This window comes from Homo sapiens, chromosome 4 (assembly GCF_000001405.40).
Source record: "Homo sapiens chromosome 4, GRCh38.p14 Primary Assembly".
Classification (NCBI taxonomy): Eukaryota; Metazoa; Chordata; class Mammalia; order Primates; family Hominidae; genus Homo; species Homo sapiens.
In genome coordinates this window covers 110,360,784-110,384,926 of record NC_000004.12, presented here as the reverse complement: position 1 = coordinate 110,384,926, position 24,143 = coordinate 110,360,784, and the positions used below count along the sequence as shown (strand labels likewise).

Sequence of the window (24,143 nt, the reverse complement as noted above, 5' to 3'; positions counted from 1 at the left end):
TGCTCTCTTGACCAACCTCCAATTCCAGTCCCCTTTCCAGAAGTAAGACTATTGACAGCATATTCTTCTAGATCTTTTTATACGTGTTTAACCACACTGGTTTAGTTTTACTGGGTGCTATTTTTCCCCTTAAATTATAACATATTGTGTGTATTACTCAGCTACTTTCTGGTTTTATTTAACAATGTGTCCTGGGAGTCTTTATGTGTAAGATAGACGTAACCTACTCTTTTTAACTGAATTATAATATGCAAAACTATAGTTGTACCCTATAATTATGTAACCATTATTTTATTGATAGAAATTCAGGTATTTGGCATTGTTTTGTTTTTCAAACTTGGCCTAATTAAAACATTGGTACAATTAAAATTTTTGAATAAGACTTCTTGCACACATTTCCTAGCTGTTCTTTAAACATGTATCTGGGAATTGAATTGCTTAGTCAGTATAAAAGCCATTAAAATTCTTAATAATTTTTCATAGGCACTGCCCAATGCATACCAAAACAACTTTATGCTTATACCAACAGTGTACACCAACAATATATACACCAAATATATACACCAACAGTATATATTTTCTATACACTGCTCTGATACACAATAGATTATTTTTTCTGATTCCCTCCCTTCCCCACCCTCTCCCCTCAAGTAGGACCCAGTGTGCATTTTCCCCCTCTATGTGTCCATGTATTCTCATTTTTTAGCTCCCGCTTATAAGTAAAAACATGGTATTTTGTTTTGTTCCTGTATTAGTTTGCTAAGGATAGTGGCCACCAGCTCCATCCATGTTTCTGCAAAGGACATGATCTCATTCTTTTTTATGGTTGCATAGTATTCCATGGTGTATATGTACTAGATTTTCTTCTTCTAGTCTGATGGGCATTTAGGTTGATTCCATGTCTTCACCATTGTGAAAAGTGTTGCAGTGAGCATGTGGCTGCATGTATCTTTACAATGGAATGATTTATACTCACTTGAGTATATACCCAGTAATGGGATTGTTGGGTCAACTGGTAGTTCTGTCTTTAGCTCTTTGAGAATCCCCACATTGTTTTCCACAATGGTGGAACTAATTTACATTCCCACCAGCAGTGCATAAGTGTTCCCTTTTCTCTGCAACCTCACCAGCATCTGTTTGTTCTTTTTTTTTCACTTTTTAGTAGCAGTCATTCTGACTGGTGTGAGATGGTATCTCATTGTGGTTTTGATTTGCATTTCTCTAATGATCAATGATATAAAGATTTTTTCATATGCTGTTGGCTGCGTGTATGATTTCTTCTGAAAACTGTTCATGACCTTTGACCTTTTTTAATGGGGTTGTTTGTTTCTTTCTTGTAAATTTGTTTAAGTTCCTTATATATGCTAGGTATAATACCTTTGTTAGATGTAAAATTTGCAAATACTCTCTCCCATTCTGTAGGTTGGCTGTTTACTCTGTTGATAGTTTCTTTTACTGCAGCTCTTTAGTTCAATTAGACCCCATTTGTCAATTTTTGCTTTTGTTGCAATTGCTTTTGCTGTCTTCATCATGAAATGTTTGCCTATTCAATAGTTTCTTTTACTGCACAGCAGCTCTTTAGTTTAATTAGATTCCATTTGTCAATTTTTGCTTTTGTTGCAAGTTGCTTTTGATGTCTTCATCATGAAATATTTACCAGTTTCTACGTCCAAAATGGTACTGCTTAGGTTGTCTTCCAGGGTTTTTAGTTTTGGGTTTTACATTTAAGTCCTTAATCCACCTTGAGTTGGTTTTTGTATATGGTATAAGGAAGGCATCCAGTTTCAATCTTCTTCTGTGTATGCACAAGCATACTATTTATTGAATCCCAGAACCATTTACTGAATAAGAAATCCTTTCCCCATTGCTTGTTTTTCTCTTCATTAGTCTAGCTAGCAGTCTATCTGTTTTATTAACTTTTTCAAAAAAACAAACTCCTGGGTCCATTGATCTTTTGCATAGTTTTCATGTCTCAATCTCCTTCAGTTCAGCTCTCATTTTGGTTATTTCTTATCTTCTGCTAGCTTTGGGATTGGTTTACTCTTACTTCTCTAGTTCTTTCTGTTGTGATGTTAGGTTTTTAAATTGAGAACTTTCTAACTTTTTCATATGAGTGTTTAGTGCTATAAATTTCCCTCTTAATATTGCCTTGGCTGTGCCCCAGATATCCTGGTATGTTGTATCATTGTTCTCACTAGTTTCAAAGAACTTCTTGATTTGTGCCTTAATTTCATTATTTACCCAAAAGTCATTCAGGAGCAGTTTGTTTAATTTCCATGTAATCGTATGGTTTTGAGCAATTTTCTTAGTCTTCATTTCTATTTTTATTGCACTGTGGTCCAAGAGAGTGGCTGGTGTGATTTCAGTTCTTTTGCATTTGCTGAGGATTGTTTTATGTCCAATTGTGTGGTCATCTTTAGAGTATGTGCCATGTGGTGGTGAGAAGAATGTATATTTTGGTGCTTATGGTTGTAGAGTTCTGTGGATGTCAATCAGGTCTAATTGGTCCAATGTTGCGTTCAGGTCCTGAATATCTTTGCTAATTTTCTGCCTTGATGATCTGTCTCATACTGTCAGTAGGGTGTTGAAGTCTCTCACTATTATTGCTTGGGAGTCTAAGTCTATTTGAAGGTCTCTAAGAACTTGCTTTATGAAACTGGGTGCTTCTGTGTTGGGTGCATATATATTTAGGATAGTTAGGTCTTCTTGTTGAATTGAATCCTTTACCACTATGTAATGGCCTTCTTTGTGTTTTCTTGTGATCTGTGTTGGTTTAAAGTCTGTTTTGTCTGAAATTAGGATTGTAACCCCTGCTTTTCTTCTGATTTCCATTTTCTTGGTAGATTTTTCTTCATCCCTTTATTTTGAGCCTCTGGGTGTCATTGCATGGGAGATGAGTCTCTTGAAAACAGCATACCATTGAGTCTTTCTTCTTTACCCAGCTTGCAACTCTGTGCCTTTCAATTGGGCATTTAGCCCATTTACATTCAGGATTAGTATTGATATGTGTGGATTGATCCTGTCATCATGCTGTTAGCTGGCTGTTTTGCACACTTGTTTGTGTTGTTGCTTTATAGTGTCACTGGTTGGTGTACTTAAGTGTGTTATTGTAGTGGCTGCTAACAGTCTTTCCTTTCCATATTTAGCACTTCCTTCAGGAGCTCTTGTAAAGCAGGTTGGGTGGTAACAAATTCCCTCCACATTTGCTTGTCTGAAAAGGATCTTATTTCTCCTTTGCTTATGAAGCTTAGTATGGCCAGATATGAAACTCTTGGTTGAAAATTCTTTTCTTTCAGAATGTTGACTATGGCCAGGCACAGTGGCTCACGCCTGTAATCCCAGCACTTTCAGAGGCCAAGGCAGGCAGATCATAAGGTCAGGAGTTTGAGACCAGCCTGGCCAATATGGTGAAACCTTGTCTCTACTAAAAATACAAAAATTAGCTGGGCGTGGTGGTGGGCACCTGTAGTCTCACTTACTCTGGAGGCTGAGGCAGAAGAATTGCTTGAACCCAGGAGGCAGAGGTTGCAGAGAGCTGAGATTGTACCACTCACTGCACTCCAGCCTGGGTGACAGAGTGAGACCCTGTCTCAAAAAAAAAAAAAAAAAAAAAAAAAAAAAAGAAGAATGTTGACTATAAGCCCCCAGTCTCTTCTGGCTTGCAGGGTTTTTGCTGAGAGGTCTGCTGTTAGTTTTACAGGCTTCCTTTTGTAGGTAACCTGTCTTTTCTTTCTAGCTGCCTTTCATTGTCTTTCATTTTGACCTTGGAAAATCTGATGATTATGTGTCTTGGGGATGATCTTCTTGTGAAGTATTTTGTGTAGTTGAGATCAGGGGGGTCTCTGCATTTCCTAAATTTGGATCTTGACCTCTCTAGCTAGATTGGGGAAGTTGTCATGCATGGTATCTTGAAATATGTTTTCCAAGTTGTTTCTATTGTCCCTATCTTTCAGGGTGCCAATGAGTCACAGATTTGGTCTCTTTACATAATCTCATATTTCTCAGAGGTTTCATTATTTCCTTTTTATTCTTTTTTCTTTATTCTTGTCTGACTGTTTTATTTTAGAAATCCAGTCTTCAAGCTCTGAGATTCCTCTGCTTGGTCTATTCTCCTGTGATGGCATTATAAAATTCTTGTAGTGCTTTTTTCTTCTCTATCAGGTCAGTTACACTGTTTTCTAGACCAGCTATTTTGTCTGTCAGCTCCTGTATCATTTTACTGTGATTCTTAGCTTCCTTGGATTGGGTTTCAATGTTTTCCTGAATCTCAATGATCTTCATTCCTATCCATATTCTGAAATCTATTTCTGTCATTTCAGCCATCTCAGCTCAGTTTAGAACACTTGCTGGAGAACTAGTGCAGTTGTTTGGAGGAAAGAAGGTTTTCTGCCTTCCCGAATTGTCCGAGTTTTTGTGCTCATTCTTTCTCATCTTTGTGGGCTGATATTCCTTCAATCTTTAAAGTTGCTGTCCTTTAGATGGGTTGGGTTTTTTTTCCTTTTATTGTATTTGGGTGTTTGACTATGATATAAGGTGGGTTCAGTTGACAGGTTTCCTTTCTTGAAGATTTTAGGGAGCCAAGGCTCAGCTCAATATCCCTGGACTGCATGGTCTAACTCTGGGGGAGTAGAATCAGCCTCTCATTGTTCTCTGACCCCTTATGTTTGAGAATGGGCTGCACCAGAGAGGTTGAGGTGCTCCCACACTGCTAGTCACAACACTCCCATGAGTGCTGCCAGCCAAAGCTCTTTATAGGGTGGTGGCAGCAGAATCCATCCTCATTCGCCCATACCAGTGGCAGTGGCAGTGGCAGCATGGCAGGGTGCGTGCTAGTCACCTGTGGCAGAGTGCTAGCAGGTGCCAGGGTGAGAGCCTCCATGTGAGCATTTGCAGCAGTGGTGGCAGCATTCACAGCATTCACAGTGGTGGCAGTGTTTGCAGCATTTGCAGCATTCGCAGCATTTGCAGTGGTGGCAGCACAGCATGGGGGTGTTGCGCTCACCCAGTGTCTGTGCATACATTCTCATCAGTGGTGGTGTTAGCACAGGAGTGGGGTGCTGGTGGATGGGTCAGCTGTTCTCTGTGCCTAGTTTTGCACTGTGGCAATGTCAGCACATGGATGGGGCACTGGCAGGGGGAGAGTGCACTCATGCTGGCAGCACTTGCATGACAGGGAGTAAGGGGGCATGCAGACCCACAGGTTGGCAGAAAAAGGGAAGCAAGGACCACCCATGCACACACATGCTGGCAAAGTGATGTGGGGGGTGGCTGAGGACAAGTGCATATAGGCAAAGCAGCTGAAACAGGGGATGCTGAAAGTTTGTGGGGGGAGGGCATGGGCAGCCTGGCACATGTCCATGTGGGCCGCTGTGCTGGAGCTCTCTGCTGGTCAGACACTGTCTGCCAGCACAGGCACTGTCATGCAGGCCCCAGGAGGTACCTCCCCTCTGGGCTGCGCTGAAAGCAGGTGCATCCAGGCTGGGGCCTCAGGAGAGGCCAGCAGACTGAAGGATGCTCAGATCAGACCAGCTCCCTCTCGGGCAGGTCCACCCTGCAGAGTTCATGTCTGACAGTTCTTCATAAATTCTCCTTTGGGAGCAAGTTGAGCCTAGGGGAACAGGCATTCCTGCTCATGCTCCACTACAGATGTTCCCGCACCAAATCCTCTGGGCTCTGCACTGGCTGGAGTTCTGCCCCTACCATTTCTCTAAGCAGCTCTCGTTGCCAGCTCAAGTGTCTGTGGTGGTCATGGGCTTTCCTTCTGCTGGGATTCCAGAGGCCTGTGGCAAGAGCGGGCTGTTCCTTGCCTATTCAATTAACCCATTCCCTCAGAGTCACTGGGACCAGGAACAAGTCATGGTATGCACGGTAGCCCCATACATGGTTCTCAGCTTCCTTCCTCTTCAGCCCCGCTTCTGTATCTTTCTTCCATCTGCTCTCAATGCCTTCCCTCTGAAGATCTGCTAGGGGTCCTGCCAGTCCTTCTGGTGCCCCAGTCCATTGGTGGCAGCTGTTCCTCCTGGCAGCATCTAGCTGGCCATCTTGCCCCTCAATCTTTTGATTTGGTCATATTTTAAGAGGGCTTGTCTCTCCTAATGTCAGAAAAACAGATATATTTTATCACTTTTATAATTTTGACTTTAAATTTATGTCGTTATTCCTTCAGGAATTTATTTTTTGTAAGTGGTTGTAAGTTAAGTAAAAAACATTGATAGTTAATTATCCCTATAAAAATAAATTCAATAAAAATTGAATTGACATCATGTTTCTATTGAGTTTAAATGCCACTGTTAAAATAAATTTCTATATCTACCTGGGTCGATTTTTGTATGTGACCATGTTTTTATTTCATCTGTTTACATATTCCTGCAAAAATACCATACTATTTTGGATATTATTACACTAAGTTTTGATATCTCACTGGGCAAGCCTTCCCTTTCCATTTAAAATAACTTTGTCTATTTTTATCCATTTTTCCTTTCCAGATTCATTTTAGAATGAGATAGTTAACTTCCATGAAAAATTATATTGGAATGGTTTATTAATTGGGGGTTGACAATTTTCAACAGTATTCCTTTTCCCAGAATTTAGTAGGCTTTTTTATTTCTTCAGATCTCCTTTTATATCTTTCAGTAAACTTTTACATGAATGTTTCTTATTCATTAATTGTTAGTTTTTAAAATGTAGTTCAGGGCCAGGGATGGTGGCTCTTACCTGAACTTTGGGAGGCTGAGGTGGGCAGATTACTTGAGGTCAAGAGTTTGAGACCAGACCATGGCCAACATGACAAAACCCCAACTCTACCAAAAATACAAAAATTAGCTGGGCATGGTGGCGTACACCTATAATCCCAGCTACTTGGGTGACTGAGGCACGAGAATCGCTTGAACCCAGGAGGAGGAGGTTGCAGTGAGGAGGAGGTTGCAGTGAGCCGAGATCACGCCACTGCACTCTAGCCTGGGCAACAGAGCGAGACTCTGTCTCAAAAAAAATAAAGAAAGAAAGAAATGTAGTTTATGGTTTTTCTCTTATTCAATCAGACATTTTCTTATGATATTTTCATTTTAAATTTATTTTTATTAAGATTTTAAAAGTTTTGTATCATTTAAATTTATGTTACATTTAAATTTAAAAAGCAAAAGGACTTGAATTTGTCTAAGCTTCTTATTAAAATGTTAAATCAAGTTGAGGCACTTGTGTTAAAGACAAAACTATTTCCTATAATAGATTCTAACTGGTTACTGGTGTGCACAGGAGAGCTATTGATTTTTTCTAACTTGACCATGGTAGAGTACTTTCTGGAATACATCAACTTTAGCAGTTCTATTGAGTCAGTTTATTCTCTGGATTTTTTTTAGATAGGCAATGATAAAGCCTACAAATAAAAATATCCAATCAGAATGCTTTTGACTATAAATAATAGTCACAGACTCAGACAATAAAGAGATGTACAATGTACATAATGTACATCCCTGAGGCAAATGCTCCAGACTTGGTTAGTACAGCATCTCGAGGATGTCATTGCTGATCCAGGTTTTTACATCTTTCCAATTCCAATGTATAAGTTTTTCTTAGGCTACTTCTTCTCACAATTACAAAATGACTGCAGCAACTCCAGATAGCACATCCAACATGACAACTAAAAATGGACAAAATTTGGGTTCTTATTAGCAAGGAATAGAGGTGAATAAATGCTGGATCTGTAACTCTTTTCAATACGTATAATTATTGTTTCCTTTTTTACTTTCTGCCTTAACACATTACCTACAATTTCTTTCATAACAGTAATGGCAGCAATAGTAGGAATCCTTGCCTTAAATTTAATTGAGATACATCTAAGCCATTTGAATAGTATGTAACAAATAATTCTACACCATTTGAATATTACTTACTGTGGATTAAGGATTGACAAATTAAAGGCCACTTGGCCAGTGACCTGTTTTTGTATGACCTGAGAGCTAGAACAGCTGTTATGTTTTTAAAGGGTCATAGAGAAATTGCAGCGGTGAAAAAGAAGGAGAAAGAAGGAGGAGAAGGTGGAGGAACAGGAGGAAGGAGAACATGCAACAGAGACAGCAAGTAGCCTGCAAAGCCTACAATATTTACTATTTGTCCCTATTAGAAAAGGTTTGACAACCCCTTCTATAGATTATGCTCTAACATACCAATATCCCTCATCAAGTTTAAGAAATTAAATAATACCTAGTTTCCTAAGTGTTTTTAAAATCAGGAATGAGTGTTAAATTTTATCAAATGTATTTTGATAAAATTTGAAATAATATATTGAAATGATTATATGACTTCTTTCCTTTAGTCTGAATGTAGGGAATTACATTAATAGATTTTCTGATGTTGAAGCACTCTTGATTTTCTGCAATACATTTTACTTGATTATGGTGTGAAGATTTTCTTTTGATTCTCTGTTGGATTTGAGTGATCTCTGTGTGGCTAATCTAATGGCCAACTCTCATTGCTCAGAGTAGGCGATGTATCGGTAGTATTTGGCATGATACATCACTCTTTCCTGCTTGGAACACTTTCTTTACTTTCCGGACAGGATAGATTTATCATTTTTCGATTACTCGATTCCTTTATTCTAGCTCACGTTTATTCTTTCCCACATTTATTCTTTCCAAGGTTCAATCCTAGGAAATGTTCTTTTCTCTACTCTCATTCTCTTGCTGGGTGATCCCAACTCTCTCATGGCTTTGAATTCCACATGTAGACTGATGATTTTAAAATGTATTCAGCGTGGCCGAGCACGGTGGCTCATGCCTGTACTCCCAGCACTTTGAGAGGCCGAAGCGGGCAGATCACTTGAGGTCAGGAGTTCAAGACCAGCCTGGCCAATATAGCAAGACCCCCATCTCTACTAAAGAACAAAATGCAAAAATTAGCCAGGTGTGGTGGTGCGTGCCTGTAGTTCCAACAAAACAGGAAGCTGAGGCAGGAGAATCACTTGAACCTGGGAAGCAGAGGTTTGCAGTGAGCCACGATTGTGCCACTGCATCCAGTCTGGGTGACAGAGTGAGACTCAGTCTCAAAAACAACAACAATGACAAAAATAAAAACAAACAAACAAAACGATATTCAGCATAAACCTGTCCTCAAACCTCACGTGCTATACTCTGCTGCCTACACATCTCCATTTGGATTTTTAGTAGGAACCTCAAACTTAGTATGTCCAAAGCTGGACTCTATTCTTCTCCTTGCTCTAAATCTGCTTCTCCCACAGTCTGCCCCACTCAGTAAATGGTGATTCTATCTTTCCAGTAGGTGAAAATAAAAACCTTGGAATTGTCCTTGCCCATCTACTCATTCACTCAACCTGGCTGGGCAAAGGTATGTGATTTTGATATGGTGGTCAGAGACGGCTTCATTGAGAAGGTCAGATCTGCTATTTGCTAAGGGGGAAGACTGCAAAATAAGTAGGTTTGAGATCTTTACCCCCATTTTTATTTTTTTATTTTTTTATTTTTTTTTTGAGACAGGGTCTCACTTTGTCACCCAGGCTGGAGTACAGTGGTGTGAACATGGCTCACTGCAGCCTTGACCTCCCAGGCTCAAGTGATCCTCCCACCTCAGCCTCCCAAGTAGCTGGGACCACACACTGGCACCGCCACCTCCGGCTAATTTTTGTATTTTTAGTAGAGATGAGGTTTCACCATGTTGGCCAGGCTGGTCTCAAACTCCTGATTGCAAGTGATCCACCTACCTCGGCTTCCCAAAGTGCTGAGATTACAGGCGTGAGCCACCGCGCCCAGCCCCTTTTAACGTTCTTAACTTGGATTTCATTTTGTATGATACAAATATTTTTATACCTGCTTTTTTGTTACATTCACCTGATATATCTATTGCCAATTCTTTATTTTATACTTTTCTGAGTTATTTCATGGTGAAATTTTATTGTTCCAATCTAGAAGTGTTTGTCTTTTAATATTATTGATTATTGATATTTTTGGACTTTATGACCATTATATTTTGTCTTCTTTCTACTATGCTTTCTCATATTTTCTCTTCACATCCTTTTACTCAGTAAATAAAACCTTCTTTCTTTTATTTCATATGTCTTTTCTAGTGGTTAACCCTACTTATAAAATTTATAGACATTTAAGTTTGATTTTTATCCAAGTAATACTTTCACATACATTAGAAAAATTAGATGGTGCCAAAAAGCCTATTTAAAAAACTCAGGTTTTATCACAACCTGTCTTCTGAGATGGTGAGAGACAAGCAGAATGCGCTTCCAGACTCTCTCAGGAGTCGGCCTCTGGGCTCCCGGTTTCTCCTGGCATGGCAGCCACCAGGATATCTGCTCTGCCTCTGGGGCTTCCACATACAGCTCCTCCTGGGGAGGTGCCTGTCCTGGCCCCTGCTTGGCACAGCACCTAGCTGCTCCCACTCTGGTACCCAGTTCTTCCTCTGACCATGTCAACAGAGCTCCGTCCTGCTCCATGTATTCCCTCCTTCTAAGACCCCGCTAAAGCCACTCCCATCTTTGGCAGCAAGTTTGGGACTGTAGTTCTCCCTTATTTGTTTCCCATCTTTTAGGACTTTCTCACCACTTCCGGTCTACAGAACACACCAGCACCCCTTCTCATTTTCTAGTTAGAGACATCATCTGTCACTGGGGTGAGTGGGAGGCACGAAGATGGGCTCAATCCACCATACTGAGCCCAGTCCCAGGTAATCCTTTGATCATTAGGAGAAAAAAAATTGACATGTTTTTATTTTGAAAGTATTAATTCAAAGTTGCTTGATGAGATGACATGAGGTGAGGGGGCAAGTTGGACACTTAGGCCCCCAAATCTAGGAAATGTGCATAAAGATATTGTCATGTCTTCTCTGACGTTCTAGTTCCTGCCTTCCCAATTCCCTCTGTCATGGCTTACTCATATCCCACCACCATATATCCACTGCCCTTTCCCAATTCCCATCCCAGTCCTGAGTTGATGCAGGAAACATTCAATAGCAACTCTCCCTAGAGGTGTGAGTTGATGGATGAATTAATAAATAGGTCAATGAATTGGGAGACATCATTCATCAAAATTCAAGGGATCTTTATCCTCAGCATCCCAGAGAGAATTTAGTTTTGACTTCGAACTGAGGACTGTACTTCAAAGATTCTTGGTGCAGCAGAGAAAAAAACATGGACTCAGGAAAATCAGAATTGGACTCCCCATGCTGCTCTCACTGGCTAGTTTACTTTGGTCTGGTTACATAACCTCTTTGAGTCTCAGTTCCTTTTTTTTTTTTTTTTTGAGATGGAGTCTCACTCTGTGGCCCAGTCTGGAGCGTGCAGTGGTGCCATCTCGGCTCACTGCAAGCTCCCCCTCCCGGGTTCACGCCATTCTCCTGCCTCAGCCTCCCGAGTAGCTGGGACTACAGGTGCCCACCACCACACCTGGCTAATTTTTTGTATTTTTAGTAGAGACGGGTTTTCACCGTGTTAGCCAGGATGGTCTCAATCTCCTGACTTCGTGATCCGCCTGCCTCGGCCTCCGAAAGTGCTGGGATTGCAGGCGTGAGCCACCGTGCCCGGACGAGTCTCAGTTTCTTAACCTGTAAAACTGAAATAAGAACACCTCTGAAAATAATAACGATGACTATCTTATATACTGTGGCCCAAGCCACCGTCAGCCCTCACTGGATTAATGCAAAGCTCCTGAATGCTCTCCCTGCCTTCACTGCTGCTCTCCCTCCAGTCTATTTCCTGCCCATCAGCCTGTCAGATCGCATCAATCTGTGAGATTCAGAGGGGCTCTTCCATCTCACTTAGAGTAAAAGCCCAAGTCCTTACTACCATAGTCCTACCAGATCTGATCTCTTGTTAGGTCTCTGACCTCTTATTCTGCTTCTCTCCCCTCACTCACCACAGACCAGCTCCACAGGTTTCCTTGCTATGTTTCAAAAACACCAAGCACGCTTCTACTTCAGGACCTTGGCACTGACTCTACTGTCTGCCGGGAGTGCTCTTCTCCAGGTCTCTGTTTGGTTTTCTGTACTCAAATATCACCCTCTTAGTTAGGATCTGTCTTTCGTATTCTGCCAAAAAGTTCAACCTTTCCTTCTCCCAGATACCTTCTCTGCATTGGTTTTTCCTCTTAGCAGTTATCACTAGTTAACTGCAATGAACCTAGTGTGTCCTCCCCACAATTCATATGTTGAAACCCTAACCCCTAATGTAATGGCATTAGGAGGTGGGGCCTCTGGGAGGTGATTATGTAATGAGCCCTCATGGATGGGATTAGTGTCCTTACACAAGAAACCCCAGAGAGAAGCCTCGGCCCTTCCATCATGTGACAACACAGCAAGAAAACACCATTTGCGAACCAGAAAGCTGGCTCTCACCACACAACAAATCTGCTGGCACCTTGATCTTGAAACTCCCAGCCTCTTTAACCATGAGGAATACATTTCTGTTGTTTACAAGCCATTTGGTCTATGATATTTTGTTATAGCAGCCTGAACAGACTAAGACTCTAACATACAATATATTTTACTTACTTATGCTTGCTATTTTCTATTTCTACAACTAGAACAGAAGCTCCATGTAGACAAGGATTTCTTTCTATTCTGATCATTTGTATTCTAGCACCAAGGATTTGTTCTGGCTCATAGTAGATGCTCAAGACATATTTGTTGAATGAATGAAGAATAATTAGAGATAGTGCTTCTAAAGCAGAAAAAGTATAGGGTAGCAGTCCAGAGTACAGCTTTTGAAACCAGACTATGTAAGTTCCCATTTAATGCTTAATAGGCATGTTACCTTGGGAAAGTTACTAAACCTCCCTGGTCTCTGGTTTTATCATCTTTAATATGGAACTAATCATAGTATCTACACATAGAGTTGTTGGGAAAATCAAAGGAGATAATATATGTAAAGTGTCTAGAATAATGGCTGGCACATAGGAAGCTGTCAAAAAGGTATAACAGTTGTGATGGACATATCTAGCCCACAGTAGGTGTTTTGACAATAGTTGTCATCGTTATTAAACTCAATCTCAAGAGGCTGGGGGCGTCAGAGAATGAGTAGGTTTAAGAGGTGGAGGATGCAGTTATCTTGGACATTAGAACTGAAAAAGCAAGCTTGTGAACTGAAGGGGAGTCTGTAGCTAAGCTGACCATCTCTAATTCAACTCTATGTATGCAGCTAAGCTAAGAACACCTGTACCCCAGACAGCTGAGTAAGCACAATATGATTAACGGAGAAGTGGCACCACGTAGGACAAAGGGTCAAGGCTGTGGTCACAAGGTTGTTCTAAGTCAGAAGGCTCACTTCATTTCTCTGGGAATGCAGACTATAATTAAACAGAGGGGAGCACAGAGGCCTTCTGTTTCAGAGTCCCCTGAGCAGTCTTGTAACGGCTGAATGAGGAGGCAGGCACAGATTATTAACCATCCCATAAGCAAAGGCACATAAAAGCAAAGTTGTCCTTTGTCAGCAAATTCCATTGCAGACATCTCATCCAGTGACAGAAGAGTAATCCTGGAAGCAAAGGAGCTATTCATCACATGATTCTCGAAACAAGTCAGTACCTCCCTTTCACCCAACTTCTCCCCCTTCTGATGATGAGTTTGTGAATTTTGGGGAATCAGTACAAATCATTGCTATTCTCAAATCACATAAGCTGTTAGATGATCTAAAAGAATTACAGGCTTTTATTTATTACTATTTAATTAATTATAATTTTAATTTAATTTAATTATTATTTAATTAATTATAATTATTATGTAATTATTATTTTATTATTATTCTATGATTGTACTTATAAAAGTGCCAGCTGAAAAATGGAAAAATACTTAAGTGAGTTTGTTTTTTGAATAACCAGTTTGACCTACTCTTGATGACTGAACTGTCTATTGTTATGTTATGGAGTCACTATCTAAGGTTGGTGCAAAAGTAATTGCAGTTTTGGACCGTGAATTTTAAATCGTTATAACTGGGCTCAAACACATCTTTATTACTCAAAATAGGAACCATTACAATCAACAGATTTTTGCCAACAAGAAATAAGTTTGTTTATTCCTGCAGTATAAAAATTCGAGCTTTGGGATTCGACAAACTCTTGGAAAGCATTTTTTGCATCCTGCTGGTTGTGGAAGCATTATCCCTGCAAAAAGTTGTTGAGATGCTTGAAGAAGTGGTAGCTGGTTGGCGAGAGATCAAGTGAATATGGTGGATGAGGCAAAACTTTGTAGCCCAATTCATTCAACTTTTGAAGCATTGGTTGTGTGATGTGCCGTCAAGCATTGTCGTGGTGAATTGGGCCCTTTCTGTTGACCAATGCCGGCTGCAGGCATTGCGGTTTTCAGTGCATCTCATCGATTTGCTGAGCATGCTTCTCAGATGTAATGGTTTCACTGGGATTCAGAAAGCTGTAGAGGATCATAACCGGCAGCAGATCCCAGTGACCATGACCTTTTTTGGTACAAGTTTGGCTTTGGGACTTTGGAGCTTCTTTCTTGATCCAATCACTGAGCTGGTCATCACCAGTTGTCATACAAAATTCACTTTTCATTGCACAATCCGATGGAGAAATGGTTCGTTATTGTTGTGTAGACTAAGAGATGATACTTCAAAATGATGGTTTTATTTTATGTTTGCTGAGCTCGTGAGGCACCCATTTATCGAGCTTCTTTGCCTTTCCATCTGCTTCAATGATGAACAACCATAGAATGGTTGACGTTGAGTTCTTGGGCAACTTCTCATGTGTTTGTAAGAGGATCAGCTTCCATGAGTGCTCTCAGTTGGTTGTTGTCAACTTCTGATGGCTGGCCACTATGCTCCTCATCTTCAAGGCTCTCTTCTGCTTTGCAAAACTTCTTGAACCACCACTGCACTGTACATTTCTTCATTAGCAGTTCCTGGGCCAAATGCATTTTTGATGTTGCGAGTTGTCTCTGCTATTTTATGACCCATTTTGAATTTGAATAAGAAAATCGTTTGAATTTGCTTTTTGTCTAACATTATTTCCATAGTCTAAAATAAATATAAAATAAACAGCAAGTAATAAGTCATTAGCAAAAAAAAATGAGAAATATGCATTAGAATGATGTATAACATAGCCACATTTACTTAAGAATGTATTCCAGTGTCAAATGGCAAATTTCAATAATGCAAAAACCACAATTACTTTTGTACCAACTTATATAGGTTGTTATATGAACCAATTCTATCACATATAGAATTATGAGGAACAGAAATAAAGCCATGACCACATATCACTTGAATCTCTGCAAAATGTCACTCATGTATGCCCTTGCCTCACCACTGATGGCTCCCCTTTCCCTCCTAAGGAGGGAGTCTTTGGGATCAATCTTATCGCTGGACAGAAAGTAAACCCTAGTTCAACAATGCAGCACAAGTGAATCTTAGGGCCAGACTGACTTGGGACCCCTATTCTAATTGCTGAGGTCCACTTAATTCCCTCATGTCTGGATGCCTGTTGCTAGTCGGCTTCCTTAGATTCAGAAATCCGACTTGGATGACCACTCCTGCCTGTCCTCACTGAGATAACAGACCAGTCCCTAAGCCCCAAAAGGAACTGTTTCCTCACAGAAATCTCAGATTTCGGGGATGCCTAGATGCCCTGAGACTGAGTTCCAGCCATCAAGGAGACACTGCCTTTCTCTCTTGGCAAGCTTCCCTCTTGCTGACAATTTGCATAGATGACCATCCTCAGCGCTTCACTTTCTCCTAGCTAGAGTTCTTTCTGTAGCCTGCAGCCGGGCCTGCTGCCTGCAGCCCTTGCCTCCAGCTCCACTCCAGTGGTTGGGTCTGGGAGTGGGTCTGGGTCTGGATCTGGGTCCAGCACATTCTGTTTGGCCTGATCATGTAGCAGGCATTTTCATGTGCAGTCCTCCATTTCATACACACAATTTTGTGATACAGGTATCCAAATTCTTGTTACCACCCCTATTTTACAGTTCAGGAAATTGAGGCTCAGAAAGGTTAGTGTCTTGCCCACCTCAAGGCAAGAACTAAGTGGAGTCTGGTCTCAAAACCAAGTCTTATAACTGTACAATAAGATATAACTCATCAAAGAAGGAATAAAGTGCTGGGACATGCTACAATGTGGATGAACCTCGAAAACATTATGCTAAGTGAAAGACGCCAGACACAAGGGGTCACATTAAATGATTTCATTCACATGAATACTCAGGATAGAGACAGAACACAGATTATTAGCTGCCCATAAAAATGCTGATAATGAAACTGGTGATGAAAATATTTTGGAACTAGATAAAGGTGTTGGTTGCACAACACAAACTGAATTGCTTACTTTAAAATGGTTCAGCTTAGCGAGGCATGTTGGCCGCACCTGTAGTACCAGCTACTTGGAAGGCTGAGGCTATGACTGTGCCTGTAAATAGCCACTATACACCAGCCTAGGCAACATAGCAAGACCCCCATCTCTAAAAAAAATAAAAAAATAAAAATAAAATAAAATGGTTACACTTATGTCACGTGAATTTCATGTCAATCTTTTTTAAAAAACCTAGGTCTTTGGATTTCCACAGCCTGAACTTCTTTCACTGAATTACTTGTTTGCCAACTCTGAAGATACATAAAAATTTTATTATCTTCTATTACACTGTAAAAGTAGATATAGAAAAGCAACTTATTACCTTATTACTTTTTTACTTTTTTGCTTTAATATGTGATACAACAAGAAAGACTTTAAGTTTAAATAATATAAAAGTGAAGGCCGGGTGTGGTGGCTCACGCCTGTAATCCCAGCACTTCGGGAGGCCGAGGCAGGTGGATCACGAGGTCAAGAGATTGAGACCATCCTGGCTAACATGGTGAAACCCCGTCTCTCTAAAAATCCAAAAAGAATTAGCCGGGCGTGGTGGTGGGCCTGTAGTCCCAGCTACTCAGAAGGCTGAGGCAGGATAATGGCATGAACCCGGGAGGCGGAGCTTGCAGTGAGCCGAGATCGTGCCACTGCACTCCAGCCTGGGCGACAGAGTGAGACTCCGTCTCAAAAAAAAAAATAAAGTGAAGCAGGTACGTGAAAAAGTTTAAAGAGTATACAATAGCACAGATAACAATACAAGCTTACAACTTTCCAGCCACCCCAATCTCACTCCCTAGGGATAAGCATTTTTAACAGTTCTCTATGTAATCTTCCAGAAGGTTTTCTGAGCATATGTATAACCATATGGTCCTGTTTTTTCCTTCTTTTTTTTTTTTCAATTAACAACAGCTCTTGGAGAACGTCCATAAGAGAAAATATACCTAGCTTATAAATTCTAACACATGTGTAATATTCCATTTTATGGACATACCATAAATTTATTTCACTTCCCTTGCACCCTAATACCTAGTACTTCTCTCCAAATGGTCCTCCATTCTAAGGTGTCATGTTTAAAAGCCCTTTGTAGGCATAGGAGTAAGAGTAGTTTTCGAACTTCAGTATGTGTAAAAATCATGTATGGAGTTTAGTAAAAAAAATGAGGATTCCTGAGCTTCATTCCCTAGAGAGTCTGATGTGGTGTATCTAGGGTGGGTCCAATAATTTCCATTTTTCAAAATAAGTACCCTAGGTTATTCTGATGTAAGTGTTTCCTAATCCTACTTTGAATAATACTGAAACAAAACAAGGAACCTCATTCATTCCAGCAAACCACCGTTGAGCTGTTGCTATGTTCCAAAATCTGTGCCTGTACTGGGAGTGCAAATATTAATAAAACACAGCCCTGCCCTGATGATAGAGAAGAAAAGTAAACCAGCTAACGCCACCACATGAGGAACATACAATAGAAGTACATACGGAGTTCTGGAGCTCAGACAAGGAAAGACTTACCTTGGGCAGAGGTCAGGGATAGGCTTCATCAAGGAGATGATGGCTAAGCCTAACAGTGGTGGATTTACAAGGGTTTTCCAGGAAGATGGAACTTGAGATGGCATATAGCTGAAGCTTCCAGACAAAAGGAGCATCTTGTGAATAGTCATAGAAGTAAGAGAGAACAGGGAAGAAATAATAACAATCATATCATTGGGTGCACCATGTTAAGGAGCTGGTCTTAATCTGTGGATAATGAAAACCATGAACTACTTTGAAAAGGAAAGTAAGAAGGATCCAACTTGCATTCTAAAGATCATGGTGGCCGCCAGGGGAAAGATGGATTCAGGCGGTCCTGAAGTTGTAGGCAGGGAGATTCATTAAGAGTCTATCACAAAGTCATGACAAAATGATGATAGTTTTAAAAGAAATGTGTAAAAATACTAGAGGAAAACATGAAAAGATCTCCTTACAATTTTAAGTAGGGAAAATGCTTTTTAAGTCTGTTATAAAACTCTCAAAAAATGATAAATTGGACAACATAAAAATTGAAAGTTCTGTGTATCCTAAAATATAAAGTTCAAAACACAAACAACAAACTGGGAGAAATGTTTGCAACCCTTATCACAAGCGCTAATTTCCTCAATATATATATGAAGAATTTCTGTGAATCAGTAAGAATAGACCAATGATCCACTAGAAAAATGAACAAAGAAAATGAGTGTCATTCACAAGAGGGACCTACAAATGGCTTTTACGTAGTAGTCAAAAGATGCTTAATCTCATTCATAATTAGAGCCTATCCAAAATGAAACTATACTAAAATGCTATTTTTGCTTAGCAAATTATATTGCCATTTTAAAACTTTTGAAATTTAAAAAAAAATTCCCAAAGACAAGAAATTATCAGAGCATAAACTAATAAAATGGTTGTGATGCAGATAACCGTAAAGTCCAAATGCAGTGAGTACAGAGTGGATACAGGCAGCTGTGCAAATGCCCATGTGGAAGAACATGTATGGCATTGGCCAGCAATAAATGCAATAGGCTTAATGCTGAAAAACAATACTCTCAGGATGATTCCACTCATGTAAAAATGTTTTAAGGGACTTCACAAAATCCAAACAGTTTTATAATCTGACATGGTTACAGAAGCAAAAACAAACAAAACCAAAGCATCCACTGGGGTTTTGGTCTGCCATAATAGAAATATATCGTCCAACTTAAGGAAAATGAAGCTTCCTCACACACTAAATATAGAACAGCCTTTACATTTATATTAGCTGAATTTCAATTCTTTCTATTGAATGATTAGAGTCCAATAATCTTACCTTTCAAATCTTTCATTTTCCTGTTTGTAAAATGAGCTAACAATGATCCATTCTCAAAGTTTTGAGGAGATTAAAGAGATAACGTATGAAGCTCCTTAGCTTTGGTGCCTGGCCCAGAATCTTTGCTTAATTCATGTTAATTCTCTTCTGTTTTTTTCTCCTCTCTCCTGAACCCCTCCCCTCCTAGGGGACTACATTGGTGGAGAGTACTTAATTATCAAAAGAGACAATGACAGAATTCTTAGAAGAGTTAAAGCTATGGAATTAAAAAAAAAAAAAAATTAACAGCTAAGCCAGCCAAGCAGAGCTTCAGGATAAAGTGGGATAGAAAGGGCTGAAAGTCCAAGTTGAGAGAAAGGAAGAGGGGTCAAGGGTTTGTTCCAGAGAAGCAGTGCTGAGCAGGCTGACTGCGTCAGTAGCCTGGGTCAGCCACAGGCACTTGCAGAAAATATTCACATCTGCAGCACATTTTCAGAAATGTATCCTTCGGCAGCAGTAGGAGGGTGAGAGGCAGACTGAGGAAGCTCCACTCAGAGCCAGAGTGGTAGCAATAGCCAATGTAGAACCAAGGAAATCAGAGTCCCAGCTGAATCCAAGAAGGTCAGAGGATGGTGAGCTGGAGCCAGATACCAAATTAGAGCAGTCCTCTGGCAACAGGCTGTGGAACTGGTGAGAATATCCACCAGCTTTGTTTCTCAGCCGCAGAGCTGCTCTGAGAGGCTGGGAAAATTCAAAGGGATGCAGATAAGTATGAGGGGAGAGGTGAGGGCCTCTCTACAAAGCCATAGCTGTTGAGCCAGAAATCAAATGGAATCAAAACCACTAGGGACCTGAAAGGAGAATGTTAGCAATTCCTTGCTCCTAGAGCAAAAGTCAAACCTATGAACTGACCCCCATCACCTGTGAAATAGCCCCAAACATTATTGGCGGGTCATTTGTCAGAAAATTAGGTGAGATGGGAGGTCCTAGTGAGGATAAGAAAGAAATGGATATCTTGGTTTTAGAGAAGCTGTGGTCAGGTTAAAACCAAAGGCAGATTCCATCCTCAGCCTTTTCTCTCTTCTTTCTCTCACCATGGTCCTCTCATCCACTGCTGTGGCTTTAAATACTCCCCATATGTCAGTGATGTACCCAGCTGGGCTCCATTCAATGCTGCTCCCTCTTCTCTCCCCAGCCCACTCCATCATGGACAACCTCCTCACTCTGCTCAAGTTCTGAGGTTAAATATTTCTTCATAAATGCTCAACTTTGCATGTGATTACAAAATGCAAATTAAAATAAAAAGCCATTTTTAACCTATTAGACTGTCAAAGATTAATAAAATTGAGCTGGGCACAGTGGCTCACGCCCGTAATCCCAACAACTCAAAAGACTAAGTCAGAAGAATTGCCCTTGGCCTGGAGTTTCAGACCAACCTGATCAATATAGCAAAACCGTGTCTCTACAAAAAAATTTTTAAAAAAAGTTTAGCCTGCACTCTAGCCTGGGTGACAGAGTGAGATCCTCGTCTCTAAAAAATGAAAATATGTAAATAAATAATAAAATTGCAGATAACTAATGTTTGGAAAGGTATGGTAAGACAGCACTTTCGCAGAACAAAATTTTGGAGCAAACTCCTTAGAGAACAATTTTTTCCTGTCTTTTTAAAATTTTTTAATGGACAAATAATTGTAATGGAGAGCAATTTGAAAAATATTTTGCAAAATGCAAAAGGTGTGTATGTTTATATACATATAACTCCCTTTGACTCAGCAATTCCATTTCTAAGAATTTTTCTGACAATTTTTAAAATGAATATCCAAAGATAAATGTAGAAATTTTAATTGCAACATTGCTTGTAATCACAAAACAAAAACAAAAACCAGCCTAAAAAATGTGCATTAATAGAGAAATATTTAACTAGATCATGATATACTGAAATAATCTGAAGCCATAAAAAAATTGAGGTAGAATTTCATGTGCTAATAAGCAACAACCTTCAGAAGACATTGTTCAGCTAAAAAAAAAAGTAATTGAATATGCAGTACAGTATGATTTCATTTGGTTTAAATATATATGTATATGCATAGACATTTTCAGGAAGGATAATAATATGAACATTACCATAGTATAATTCCATTATTAATATACATAGAAATTTTCTGGAAGAATGAAGAAGAACCTGTTCATAATGATTTCTTCCAGAAGAGCAAGACTGAGTCAAGGAAGAATGAGGTAAACTTAATTTTCCTTCTGTTGTTCTGTATTGTTGAGTTTTTAATCATATGCATACATTGCTTTTATTTTTAGAAATAATTACATTTTAAACTCTTTTGGTGTTTATTAGTCATTTATATTGTCCATGGTCAATTTTTTTATTATTAAAATTTCATTATTATTTTACATTTATCTGTCACACCCATGAAATATATTTTTACCTGTTTGCCTTTGACTTTTTATTGACTATATAGGTATGTATGAATATAAAATAAGTGTACTGCTCAGTGAGAAGTGTAGCTATCATGCAATCAAACCCAGATCAACAAACACAGCACTATCAGCATCCTAGACCCAGACACCTCCCCTTCCCCCTTTCAATCTCTACCTCCATGGCTGACTTCTAATTTTATTTCTAATTTTTATAAAGAAAGGTCTACTATGCTTTGGTTCTTCAACTGATTGCTCTATTCCTTTGAGAATATTTTCATTGCTTTTGTACATAAAAGTCTTTCTTCATCTAGAGATAAAATGAATACTCACCCATATTTTCATCTAGTATTAAGAATGTTGGCCAGACGTGGTGGCTCACGCCTATAATCCCAGCACTTTGGGGGGGTCTCGGCAGGTGGATCACCTGAGGTCAGGAGTTGGAAACCAGCCTTGACCAACATGGTGAAACCCTGTCTCTATTAAAAATACAAAAATTAGCTGGGCATCATGGCATCTGCCTGTAATCCAGCTACTAGAGAGACTGAGACAAGAGAATGACTTGAACCCGGGAGGCGGAGGTTTCAGTGAGCCAATATTGCACCATTGCACTCCAGCCTGGGCAACAAGAATGAAATTCCATCTCAAAAAAAAAAAAAAAAAAGAATGTTTTATTTCTATACATCACTGAGCTTAGTAAAATTTATTTTGAGATGTGGATGAGGATTTCAATTAAATTGTTTTGCCAAGTAGTCAATCTTTTGTTCTTAGGAGGTCACAGCTAGATAATTTAATGAACTTCATTTCATCATCTTCAAGGCCCCACAGCACAGGAATCATGATTTCAGTTTAAGGAGAAGAGAAGGATCTCCCTGAAGTATTAGCCCTGGCTGCTCATACTGAGAAAACCAGAAGAAATATTTATAATAGTGTAAAAGAGTATACATCCTTATGGTACAGTATTAAAGTGACTCAAAAGTTTTATATACATATTTAGACCTAGCTAAGCAGATATTCTGAAATGGGGTGGGTAGGGCTTGGCTAAACATTATCCCAGCAATATTAGATAAATGAGAAAATTGAAAAAAAGGCCACTGCCTTCACCAGGGAACATCAAAATGGTAGTCTTTGATATTTTCTGGGGGAAAAGGCCACAAAATCATTCACAAACGAGCCAGGAAACAGTTAAAAGGGAGGCTCAGTGAGGGAGTTTGGCCACAAACCACAAGAACAGTGTGATGTCTCCAGTGCACCACAGCTTTCCCATGCATGGGAGGATTGTGCTTGAGAGGCAAGCTGGAGACAGCAGGCTGCAAACTGTGGAAATGAGTCAGGGGATGGGCTGCTCTGCCTGACTTGCTGTGGAACAGGAATTTCTGGTCAAGTGAATTAATTGAAAGGAAATAAGAAAAGTCATCGAAGATGAGATTGAAATTTTTGAGCATTTTATTTCTGTGCTCTCCTTCCAAATGGAAAAAGATCGTTCTGAAGCTATAGGGGAAAGAACGTGGACTTTGTAGTCATACTGGGATCCAAATCCTGGCTCTACTCCTTTGTATCCATGTGGACTTAAGCACATTTATTCACCTATGAACTGCAGTTACCTTCCTGTAAAACGGGGAAAAGAGCAATACTTCTTTCATAGAATTGTAAGGATGAGATGAAGATACACATAAAGGACCGAATAGAGTGGCTAGCACGAAGTTGTGCTTTATAATTTATCTTTATCATTTCTGTTAAGACAGTGTGTTTTCCTCTACCTATTTATAAATACCAGGTTTATTATTTTAATGTCAATAAAATTAAATTTGATAAGTGTAAACAAGAGATGTCCTTATTGTGATCCCCCATGATATTAACATCCCCCATAATCTAGAGTGAAGTTTCTCAACAGCAGCACTGTCGACATTTTGAGAAGGATCATTTTTGTTGTGGGGCTGCCCTGTGTATTGAAGGATGTTTAGCAGCATCTCTGGTCTCTGATTCCCATAGCATCCTCCAAGTTGTGGCAACCAAAAATGTCTCCAGACATTGCCAAATGTCCCCTGATGGCAAAATTCCCTCCAGTTGAAAACCATTACTCTAGGGGACTTTTCTGGTAACTAAAGGGAAGATAGGGAAGAGATCCATCAGGACAGCGGAATGGGTAATCAAGGATATGGGGTTAGCTTCAAGTATGGTTTTCAATAGTACAATATAGAACTCTTTTTCATTGTTTTATGAATATTTGCCCAGTAGTAAACTAACACAAGGGATGGGCTGGACATATATTTAGGTAGCACAGAGCTTAAAAGTTTAGATAAGATGACTGGTTTTAAAAGGCTTATCTAAATATCGCCTATCAGCAAAACTGACTAAAACACTGGAAGACGGCCTGATCATGACAGAAGATTTTGGTCATTTGGGTCATCTACGTCAAAACCAGGAAGTAATTATATACAGATAGGTCCTGTAACTAATGATATGGAGGACATCTTCTAAACTCTCAGGAGCGTAGGTGAGCAAGGAGTTCCATGACGGCCCTATGATTCACCTGACACATCCCATAAGGATAAGCTGAGTCTCACACCTTATTCCAGGAACCCTGCTTCAGCCCTATTTATTGGCATTCTCCT

The 24,143-nt window shown here is 39.8% G+C and overlaps 1 long non-coding RNA gene across 3 annotated transcripts; it reads right to left on the bottom strand.

The window, feature by feature from the left end:
• Nucleotides 1-11,473: 11,473 nt before the first annotated feature.
• LOC105377362 (uncharacterized) lies at nucleotides 11,474-19,348 on the bottom strand. Of its 3 annotated transcripts, XR_939069.3 has the most exons (4): nucleotides 19,123-19,348; nucleotides 17,814-17,947; nucleotides 16,287-16,419; nucleotides 13,945-14,983 (listed from the first exon to the last, which is right to left on the bottom strand). It is a non-coding gene; the product is annotated as an uncharacterized LOC105377362 (long non-coding RNA). The 3 variants fall into 3 exon arrangements; XR_939070.3 differs by lacking the exons at nucleotides 13,945-14,983; nucleotides 16,287-16,419 and adding an exon at nucleotides 11,474-11,570; XR_939068.3 differs by lacking the exon at nucleotides 16,287-16,419.
• Nucleotides 19,349-24,143: the final 4,795 nt, after the last annotated feature.